At 47.8% G+C, this 11,479-nt stretch overlaps 1 pseudogene, besides 2 other annotated features; it reads left to right on the top strand.

Moving 5' to 3' along the window:
* Positions 1,144-1,193: a silencer, noted in NCBI's record as "silent region_18397". NCBI's record gives its function as "represses an Ori minimal core promoter by ATAC-STARR-seq in GM12878 lymphoblastoid cells {active_cell/tissue: GM12878}" and the evidence as "EXISTENCE:reporter gene assay evidence [ECO:0000049][PMID:35858748]".
* Positions 7,750-7,809: an enhancer, noted in NCBI's record as "active region_26309". NCBI's record gives its function as "activates an Ori minimal core promoter by ATAC-STARR-seq in GM12878 lymphoblastoid cells {active_cell/tissue: GM12878}" and the evidence as "EXISTENCE:reporter gene assay evidence [ECO:0000049][PMID:35858748]".
* RNU6-393P (RNA, U6 small nuclear 393, pseudogene) lies at positions 9,395-9,500 on the top strand (annotated as a pseudogene).

The following is an 11,479-nucleotide window of genomic DNA, read 5'->3' as shown; positions in this document are numbered from 1 at the left end:
TAACTATGCTACCAGGGGAGCAGCATGTCATGTTCAGAGACATTGTCATATCTCGGCAATATGAATGTTTCATCCAACTTTTTGTTGCTTGCTAGCAAGCCAGCATGAAGGACCAGCTGCATGGCTCTATCTTAAAGTGAGGACACAGCTGCCCCTGTCCCCAGTTTTCATGGCCCTCGCTCCTTCCCCAACTCCAGACCTCAGGAATTGCGTGGCGGAGAGAAGGGGTTGGCCTGGGATCACTGAGGCAGCATCGTCTCCAGCAGCTGCCCCCATGCCGGATCTGTGAGGGCAGGCATCAGGGCTTCCCCAAGATGACTCCACCACCTGTCCTGTGCTCAGTGGAAGAGTGGCCAATGAGGCTGTTCGGCAATCTCAAAATATCCTCAGTTCAGAGCCCAGTTTTCCCTTCTGTGTGGCCTTTGCAAGGCACCTTGTCTCCCAAAGGCTGTTTTCTATTGTACAAAATGGGACCGCTTAGGACATGATATCTGCCTCCGAGGACTGTTTGAGGGCTGAATGAGGTATGTGCAGCAGGTAATGGAGACCGGAGCCCAGAATATGGCCCAGCTTGAGTGTGATCAGTGAAGACGTCAGGGTGACATGCACTGACAGTCCCTCATCTCTGGTTCCTGGCTTGCATGTCTGCAGACAGCAGCTACAGTTTGGCAATGTAGGCAAGAAGGATGGGTCTCCCTGGGGTATAGCCTCTCAATTTATTTTCTTTCTTCCTTCCTTCCTTCCTTCCTTCCTTTCTTTCTTTTCTTTCTTTCTTTCTTTCTTTCTTTCTTTCTTTCTTTCTTTCTTTCTTTCTTTCTTTCTTTCTTTCCTTCCTTCTCTTTTCTTACTCTTTTTTTCGTTTTTCTTTTTTTTGAGATGGAGTCTCACTTTGTTGCCCAGGCTGGAGTGCAGTGGCATGATCTCAGCTCACTGCAACCTCCACCTCCCGGGTTCAAGCGATTCTCATGTCTCACCCTCCCAAGTAGCTGGGATTACAGGCATGCACCACCATACCCAACCAAATTTTTTGTATTTTTTTTTTTGAGACAGTTTTCACCATTTTGGCCAGGCTGGTCTCGAACTCCTGACCTCAAGTGATCCGCCCGCCTCGGCCTCCCAAAGTGCTGGAATTACAGGCATGAACCACTGCACCTGGCTGAGCCTCTCAATTTTCAAGGAAAGTCAGACTCTGTGCAGAAGGGAACCCCACAGGATGTGGTAACGAAGTTTGCATGGGCTAGCCTGGGAACCTGACTGTTTGCATGAGCTAGCCTGGGAACCTGACTGTCCACATGCTGTGAAACCAGCAACTCACTCAATCTGCAAGAAGACCTGGGGGTGGGATTGTTCTCTGCTGGGCTCAGGCCACATCAGGGGCTCTTATCCAACCTTGCCTGCCCAGCCAATGGATGACAGTGAGCTGGGAGGAAGCTCATTGACTAGGAAAGGGTCTCCACCTCTTGCCTTCCTGGCCTCCATATGGACCCACTGTGTGACCCTGACCAAGTCCCCAAATCTCCCTTGAGTGCTGGGATGAATAAAGCTGTGCTGGGTGGCCTCCCAGGCTGCAGCCCAGATCCAGAGGCTCCATGATCTCCCACTATCACCAAAAGGTAACATCTGTGGGGCCCAGCTTGGGGCTCTGGTCTCCTGGGAAGTTTGGTCTTTTGGGTTCAGGAACTGACTCCAAAGACCAAACTTGGTTTGGCTCAAATTTGGCTGCTTAGCAGGGGAGATCCCTTGGCTCTTGTGGTCTGGGCTTGGCAGCCCTAAGCTGTTCCCCGAGCCATGTCATTACTCTCACTTCCTCCTCCCCTTTCCTCCCACCCCACCCCCATTCTACTCCCTCCCTGCCACCCACACACTCCCCTCTCTTAATGAGTCCCAGGGAGATGCTGCCTGCCTTACATCACCTTCCCCGTTGGCAGAAGAGAGGCCCCGAGAGCCCCTGGCATGCTTGGCTCTGCTAAGCGCGGCCCTGACTCAGGGTTTCCATGGTAATAGCACTCGCAACAACAGCCTTGGCTTGTTTCCAGGGCAGATGACAACCATGACAGCCAGTCAGACTGCGTCCAGCTGTGCCTGCAGCCAGAGGGGACAGGGATGCTGAGTAGGGGTGGCTCTCCTGCCCCTCTCTCTAGAGCCCGCCCAGGTTCTACCCTGGACTATCCTACTTGCCTGGACAAGGACAAGCTCAGCATGGATGTTAGGATGCAGGAGGAGCCCTGGATGGGGACCCAGGACCTAGGAACAGGCCAGGCCATATGGTTGTCTTGCTGTGCAAATTGGGCAGGACTGTGCCTTCTGTGGGCCTCTACTATACTAGAAGGCTGGGCTAGACCATGGAGCTTCAGGGCTGTCTGATTCTCCCAGGAGAAGATTCTTGGTATTGGGGGATAGTTTCCCCTCATTGCAGGGGCCAGCATTGTCCCTGCCTGGAGCCTTTCCTTCCCTATCTTCCAAGGCTAAGTGTGGGGTCTAGGCCCTTCTCTGTGGCCTGGAGGGGGCCTGGATCCAGGTGATTGGGCTAAGTGGTCTCTCTGTGAGATCACTGGCTCTAACCAGGGAGCTACCCCTCCTCGGAGAAGGCTCACTGTTGTTCTGATGCAGCCCTGTGTTCCTGTAGACTCTCATCAGAAGGGGATGCACTGTGTTGCAAGGGTTGCCCTGGAACCCCCAATATTGTGACCTCTTTGGGCTGTGCTGCTTCCAACAGTTCCACAATTCTTAGTTCCAAATATTACAGAAGAAAAAGTAAACTAGAGATGGTTAGAAAGGGGAGCCTCCCAAAAGAGCCTCCTACACTCGTGCCATATCATGGCAGTCACTTAAACACACGTTTCTCAAGATCATCTCCTGTTGACATTCCACATTAGGCCATTTTGCAGATTTCAGCCCTCAGGGAGGTAAAGCATGAGCTACTGCTATTTCACTTACCAATTGCCGTGTAGCAAAACTACCTCCAAAGAGCCATATTATGATCTCTCATAGTCCTGTGGGTTGGCTGGGCTCAGCAAGGCAGTTCTTCTGGTCCCACTAAAGCTTTTCGTGTGTTCTAGTTAAATAGTGGTTGGGCTAGTGTCATCCATAGACTGCTCACTGTAGTGCCAAGATCTCACTTCTCTATGTGGTCTTCCTGGAGAGCACCTGGACTTTTTAGATGATGGCTCATAGCTTCCAAAAATTTAGAATCTAAGAGGGAAGACGTGGAAACTCACAGTCCTCCTAGCTCTAAAAGCTGAGCCCCAGTTGTGCCTTTTCTGCTACCCTGCAGACATAAAGCTGGTTCAAAGTGGGAAAGAACCTATTTCTGAATAAGGTCACACCCTGAGCTTCCAGGTGGACATGAATTTTGGGTGGGTGCTACCTCTGTCAGTCCGTTCTCACACTGCTGTAAAGAAATATCTGAAAGTCAAAAAATAACACATGCTGACAAGGTTGCAGAGAAAAGGGAACACTTATATACTGTTGGTGGAAGCGTAAATTAGTCCAACCATTGTGGAAAGCAGTATGGTGATTCCTCAAAGAGCTAAAAGCAGCACTACCATTCAACTCAGCAATCTCATTACTGGGTATATAACCAGAGAAATATAAATCATTGTATCATAAAGACACATGCACATGAATGTTCATTGCAGAACCATTCACCATAGCAAAGACAGGGAATCAACCTAAATGTCCATCAGTGACAACCAGATAAAGAAAATGTGGTACATATACACCATGGAATACTATGCAGCCACAAAAAAAGAATGAGATAATGTCTTTTGCGAGAACATGGATGAAGCTGGAGGCTATTATTCTCAGCAAACTAATGCAGGAACAGAAGACCAAATACTGCAAGTTCTCACTTATAAGTGGGAGCTAAATGATGAGAACTCATGAACACAAAGAAGGGAACAACACACACTGGAGTCTACTTGAGGGTGGAGGGCAGGAGGAGGGAGAGGAGCAGAGAAATAACAATTGGGTATGGGCTTAATACCTGGTTGATGAAATAATCTATACAACAAACCCTGATGACGCGAGTTTACCTATGCAACAAACCTTCACTTGTGCCCTTGAACCTAAAATAAAAGTTAAAACAAAGGAAATGCCTGAGATTGGCTAATTCATAAAGAAAAGAGGTTTAATTGGATCATGGTTCTATAAGCTATACAGGAAACACAGCAGCTTCTGCTTCTGGGGAGGCCTCAGTAAGCTTCCAATCATGGTGGAAGGTGAATGAGGATCAAAGTATCTTACATGGCTGGAGCAGGAGGGAGACAGTGAGTGGGGAGGTGCTATGCACTTTTTTTTTTTTTTTTTTGAGATGGAGTCTTACTCTGTCACCCAGGCTGGAATGCAGTGGCGTGATCTTGGCTCACCACAACCTCTACCTCCTGGGTTCAAGTGATTCTCCTGCCTCAGCCTCCTGAGTAGCTGGGATTACAGGCATGCACCACCACGCCCAGCTAATTTTTGTATTTTTAGTAGAGGTGACATTTTGCCAAGTTGGTCAGGCTGGTCTCGAACTCCTGACCTCATGATCCACCCACCTTGGCTTCCCAAAGTGTTGGGATTACAGGCGTGTAATCCTGGCCAGCTACACACTTTTAGACAAGCAGATCTCACCAGCACTTACTCATTATGGTTAGGACAGCACCAAGAGAGAAATCTGCCCCCATAATCCAATCAGCTCCTACCAGGTCCCACCTCCAGCATTGGGGATTACAACTGAATATGAGATCTGGTGGGGGCACAGATCCAAACCATATCACTATCCAACCCACTGCAGGAGATAACAACCTAGGCTCATGGAGATGCTGGAGGCCAGAATCCAATTGTGCAAAGAGCATGCTTAGTATGGGACCGGCAACAGAAGGGGTGCTCAATACATGCAGGTCGTTATTGTTACACACAAACAAGAGATGCAAAAAACACTGCCCTGCGCCTTCCCAACAAACACTCCTCCAGGGGAAACCAGGAATCAGAGCTGAGTAAATGTGGAAATGTACTTTTGCAGACTCCACAAAGCTAAACTCCAATTTGTCTTTTTTTGAGATGGAGTTTCACTCTTTTTTTTTTCCCCAGGCTAGAGTGCAATGGCATGATCTCGGCTCACTGCAACCTCCACTTCCTGGGTTCAAGTGATTCTCCTGCCTCAGCCTCCTGAGTAGCTGGGATTACAGGCATGCGCCACCACACCTGGCTAATTTTGTATTTTTAGTAGAGATGAGGTTTCACCATGTTGGCCAGGCTGGTCTTGAACTCCTGACCTCAAGTGATCTGCCCGTGTTGGCCTCCCAAAGTGCTAAGATTACAGGTGTGAGCCACCGCGCCTGGCTCAAGCTCCAATTTGATTTAGATCCGTGCATTTCGGGCTTAAGGAATTTATATTTACATAGTTGCATCATCATCTTCAGCATTCAAGCACATGTTATCTGGCAGAAACCGTGCAAAGTATCTTCCATGAGTGATCTAATTTAATCCTTACAAAGAAGGTTCAATTATTATCCCTATAAAAATGGAGAAGAGGGGCCGGGCGCGGTGGCTCATGCCTGTAATCCCAGCACTTTGGGAGGCTGAGGCGGGCGGATCACGAGGTCAGGAGATTGAGACCATCCTGGCTAACATGGTGAAACCCTGTCTCTACTAAAAAATACAAAAAATTAGCTGGGCGTGGTGGCAGGTGCCTGTAGTCCCAGCTACTCAGGAGGCTGAGGCAGGAGAATGGCGTGAACCTGGGAGGCAGAGCTTGCAGTGAGCTGAGATTGCGTCACTGCATTCCAGCCTGGGTGACAGAGCTAGACTCCGTCTCAAAAAAAAAAAAAAAAAAAAATAGAGATGAGAGAAATGACACCCAGAGATGTGATTGCCCACCCCAGGTTACACAGTGGGCAAGATGGGTGCTGGGACTTGAATCCTCTAAGTCCAGGGCCCCTGCCCTTCACCAGAATGAAAAGAGCCTTCTCTCTCCTGCTCTTCCTGGCAGAAGCATTTGTCCTCAGAAAGGATAAAGACTTGGTCTATGCTGGGTGCGGTGGCTTATGCCTGTTATCCCAGCACTTTGGGAGGCTGAGATGGGAGGATTGCTGGACCCCAGGAGTTCGAGACCAGCCTGGGCAACATAGAGAGACTCCATTTCTTTTCTATTTTTTTTGAGACGGAGTCTCCCTCTGTCACCCAGGCTGGAGTGCAGTGGTGCAATCTCAGCTCACTGCAATCTCTGCCTCCCAGGTTCAAGCGATTCTCATGCCTCAGCCTCACAAGCAGCCTGGAACTACACACACCACCACGCCTGGCTAATTTTTGTATTTTTAGTAGAGATAGGGCTTTGCCATGTTGCCCAGGCTGGTCTCGAACTCCTGAGCTCAAGTGATCCGCCCACCTCGGCCTCCCAAAGTGCTGGGATTACAGGTGTGAGCCACCGCGGCCGGCCAGGAGACACTCTATTTCTACAAAAAATAAAAAAAAATTAGCCAGGCGTGGTGGTGTGCACCTGTGGTCCCAGCTACTCTGGAGACTGAGGTGGGAGGATCACTCGAGCCCAGGAGCAGGAGGCTGCAGTGAGCTATAATGGCGCCACTGCACTCCAGCCTGGGGCACAGAGCAAGACCTTGTCTCCAAAAAAGTTAAAAATAATTGTTTAAAAAGACTTCATGGACAAGAAGCTGCTCTGTCTGTCCATTTGGCCACATCCAGTCCTCAGGGCTCTCAACTCAGGCCCAGCATCCCTTGCTCTGCCCCATCTGCAAATGTGCAGTGACAGCATCTATACTCCTGAAACCCTCCGTCGGCCTCTGACACAGCGGAACACGAAGAACACCCTTGAGCTCCTTGGCCTCCTGCGTGGCATCAGCCCCATGCCTCCCAAGGGCCCCATTATCTAAATTTAATCTCATGTGACAGGTGCCCAGAGCTGTTTCTGCCTGGTGATTTATGGAGACAAAGTGGGCCCCCTTCCAGACCGAGGGTAGTCTGCCCCAGCACCAAGATATGTGGGAGAACTGGTTCCAGGTTTGCCAGGCACCCAGGGCGACACCCACTTGTCCGTTCTGCCCATCCTGGGGACAGCAAAGTCCCTGGGCTACTTTGGAGTGGCTTTTTTATTTTTAAGTGCAAATACTTTTATATTCAGCCCCTGTAAAGCTATCGGATATTTGAAAAAATTGTGTATTTTTGTTGTTTTCTTTTTGAGACGACGCCTTACTCTGTTGCCCAGCCTGGAGTGCAGGGGCATGATCACAGCTCACTGCGGCCTGAAGGTCCTGGGCTTAAGTGATCCTCCGGCCTCAGCCTCCCGAGTACCTGGGACTACAGGTGCACGCCACCATGCCTTGTTGCTTTTTAATTTTTTTTTTTTCTTTTGTAGGGACAGGGTCTCACTATGTTGCTTAGGCTGGTCTTGAACTCCTGGTCTCAAGCAATTCTCCTGCCTCAGCCTCTCAAAGTTCTGGGATTATAGTGTGAATCACTGCACCCAGCCATAAAAACTTTTTTTGTTGGTTTGTTTTTGAGACAGAGTCTCACTCTGTTGCCCAGGCTGGAGGGCAGTGGCATGATCTCGGCTCACTGCGACCTCCACCTCCCAGGTCCAAGCAATTCTCCTGCCTCAGCCTCCTGAGTAGCTGGGACTACAGGTGTGGGCCACCACGCCCAGCTAAATTTTTTTGTATTTTTTTAGTAGAGACAGGGTTTCACCATGTTGGCCAGTCTGGTCTTGAACTCCTGACCTCTAATGATCCACCTGCCTTGACCTCCCAAAATGCTAGGATTATAGGCATGAGCCACCACGCCCAGTTGAAAGTTTTTAAATGTGAACCAAAGAATCTAGTTTTAAGAACTTAGCTAGGAACAAGTGAGTTCTTACTCACATAATGGAGTTCTCCAAATGAGTAACAGGAAGTGTAAAATGAAAGGCACGTCCCTTAGAGATTTGAAATTCTTCTGTGGCACAGTCCTGGCTGTGCTCTTTATTGAAGAAGTCTGCAGTCATTTTCAGAATTCACTCTAGAAGCTGACTTTTTAATTTGGGCATCCATAAACTAGTCATGGCAAAAGACACACAAACAAAAACACCATCACGCCAAAAAGGATGAAGAGCCAGGGATCCAACCAGTAGGAGAGCTCGGGAAGCGCGTTTGCTCTGGACTGAGGCCTGGCCACTTCTGGGGACCATCCTAGCCATCTGCCACGCGCCCACCTCCACCTCCTTCCTGAAGACCCGCCGCAACCCTAGCACTTGAAAAAGCCCTACTTATTCATTTTTGTTGTGGTAGAATAAACACTATGAAATTTACCATTTTAACCATTTTGAGTGTACAGTTGACCAGGTGTGGTGACTCATGCCTGTAACCCCAGCACTTTGGTAGGGCGAGGCAGGAGGATCGCTTGAGGCCAGGAGTTTGAGATCAGCCTGGGCAACATGGTGAGATCCCATCTCTATTTAAAATACAAAAATTAGCCAGTGTGCTGGTGCTTGCCTGTAGTCTCAGCTACTGGGGAAGTTGAGGCACAAGAATTGCTTGAACCCAGAAGGTGGAGGTTGCAGTGAGCTGAGATTGCACCACTGCACTCAGCCTGGGAGACTGAGTGAGATCCGTCTTTAAAAAAAAACAACAAAAAAGTTAGCCAGGTGTGGTGGTGCATCCCAGCTACTCGGGAGGCTGAAGCAGGAGGATTGCTTTGGCCAGGGAAGTCAAGGCTGCAGTGAGCTGAAATCGCACCACTGTACTCCAGTGTGGGTGGTAGGGTGAGACTCTATCTCAAAAAAAAAAAATATAAAAAAGTAGTTCAGTAGTGTTAAGTATATTCACATTGGCCAGGCACGTTCGCTCATGTCTGTAACCCCAGCACTTTGGGAGGCCGAGGTGGGTGGATCACCTGAGGTCAGGAGTTCAAGACCAGCCTGGCCAACATGGTGAAACCCTGTCTCTACCAAAAAAAAAAAAAAAATTAGCTGGGTATGATGGTGGGTGTCTGTAATCCCAGCTACTCGGGAGGCTGAGGCAGGAGAATTGCTTGAACCCAGGAGATGGACGTTGCAGTGAGCCAAGATGGTGCCACTGCACTCCAGCCTGGGCAACAGCGCGAGACTCTGTCTCAAGAAAAAAAGTATATTCACATTGTTGTGTAAGGAATTTCCAGAACATTTTTTATCTTGTAAAACTGAAACTCTATCCATTAAATACTAACTCCCCATTTCCCTCCTCCAGCCTCTGGTAACCCCCATTCTAGTTTCTGTCTCTATGAATTAGCTTGCTCTAGGTGCCCCATTTAAGTGGAATCATTCAATATCTGTCTTTTTATGACTGGTTTATTTCACTGAGCATACTGTTCCCATGTTTTATTATGTTGTGCCATGTGATAGAATTTCCATCTTTTTTATGGCTGAATAATATTCCATGGCATGGTGCTTGCTTTGGCAGCACATATACTAAAATTGGAAAGATACAGAGAAGATTAGCATGGCCCCTGCGTAAGGATGACATGCAAATTCGTGAAGCATTCCATATTTTTTTTCACAATAGCGAAGACTTGGAATCAACCCAAATTCCCATCACTGATAGACTGGATAAAGAAAATGTGGCATATATACACCATGGAACACTATGCAGCCATAAAAAAGGATGAGTTCATGTCCTTTGCAGGGACATCGATGAAGCTGGAAACCATCATTCTTAGCAAACTAACACAAGAACAGAAGACCAGACACCATGTGTTCTCACTCATAAGTGGGAGTTTAACAGTGAGAACCCATGGACACAGGGAAGGGAACATCACACACCAGGGCCTGTAGGGTGGTAGGAGGATAGAGGAAGGATAGCATTAGGAAAAATATCTAATGTAGATGACGGGTTGATGGGTGCAGCAAACCACCATGGCATGTGTATAACTATATAACAAACCTGCACGTTCTGCACATATATCCCAGAACTTAAAGTATAACAAAAAAAAATTTCATGGCACGAACGTATCACACTGTGTTTATCAATTTATCTGTTGATGGACACCTGGGTTGCTTCTACCCTTTGGCTATTGTAAATAATGCTGCTATAAAATTGGTTATGGATTAGCAGGGCATGGTGGTGCATGCCTGTAGTACCAGATCCTCAGGAGGCTGAGGCAGGAGAATCGCTTGAACCTGGGAGGTGGAGGTTGCAGTGAGTGGAGATTGTGCCACTGCCTTCCAGCCTGGGTGACAGAATAAGACTCTGTTTCAAAAAAAAAAATTGGTTATTCAAATGTCTCCTTGGGCCCCTGATTTCGCTTCCTTGGGGTACAAGGCCAGAAGTGCAACTGCTGGATCTGTTTTTAAGTTTTCGAGGAACTTTGTTCATTTCTTGTGTGCACTGCTGTCTATGAATCTTCAGAGGAGCGAGGTGCATGCAGGGAAAAGTCTAACATTTCCTCCTGAAGGCACTACCGGCGTGGCATGGGGGTTGTGGCAGTGGGTGAGGACTATTGCCCCTCTCTCTTTCTTCAGGAATCGCTGATGAAAGCCGCCACTTGGATCTCGTCAAATTTTCAAGAGAAAGAAAAAAGGGGTTTTGATGGAAGGCAAGATGACTTCAGGGCTCCTCTGGAGAAATTTTGTGATTTGAGGAGGGAGGGAGCTGGAGGGGGTTGCTTTTACTCTGTTCTGCACAATTCAGGTCCTGGAGCTTGATCGCAAATGCTGGTTTTGCAGTTATCAGGATCCACCAGACAGGAAAAAAGTTTCCCATGTTCAAAAGTGTGGACTAGCAGGGGCAAGAGCCCAGTTTGGTGCATAGTGAACAAATGCTGGTGATTGTACTGCATTTCACAATGCACAGGCCACATCTTTGTAAATGCATCAGCTAAAACTCTCTGGACTTGAAATAACTGCTCTCCTACACATAGGTCCCCAGGGGGAAAATGTCTACTGTAATCCAGTTTTTAAATGGAAAAGGAGAAAGAAAAAGCCCTGGTGGCATTTCTGCTGCAGGAAATTATCAGCAACTTGCTCACGGTTTTGGAGAAAATCTTCCAATTGATACAACATGTATCAATCTTCCAATCGATACAACATTCTAATCTTCCAATTGATACAACAATCTTCCAATTGAGACAACAATCCAATTGATACAACCATCTTCCAACTGATACAACATTCCAATCTTCCAATTGACACAACAATCTTCCAATTGATACAACAATCCAATTGATACAACCATCTTCCAACTGATACAACATTCCAGTCTTCCAACTGATACAACAATCTTCCAATTGATACAACAATCTTCCAATTGATACAACATTCCAATCTTCCAATTGATACAACATGTCAAAATTTCAGGGAAGACATCAAGAGCAGTTTGCATGAGGTAGGGAGTAGAGTTAGCAAAAGCAGAGAAGGCCTTAGACACAACCGGCATGGAAAAGGCCATTTGGGGCCAGGTGCGATGGCTCATGCCTGTAATCCCAGCACTTTGGGAGGCCGAGGTGGGCAGATCACCTGAGGTCAGGAGTTCGA

This window comes from Homo sapiens, chromosome 7, assembly GCF_000001405.40.
Source record: "Homo sapiens chromosome 7, GRCh38.p14 Primary Assembly".
NCBI classification, from domain to species: Eukaryota; Metazoa; Chordata; class Mammalia; order Primates; family Hominidae; genus Homo; species Homo sapiens.
Note: the sequence above shows the minus strand (reverse complement) of the source record. Positions and strands in the feature narration are given on the sequence as shown.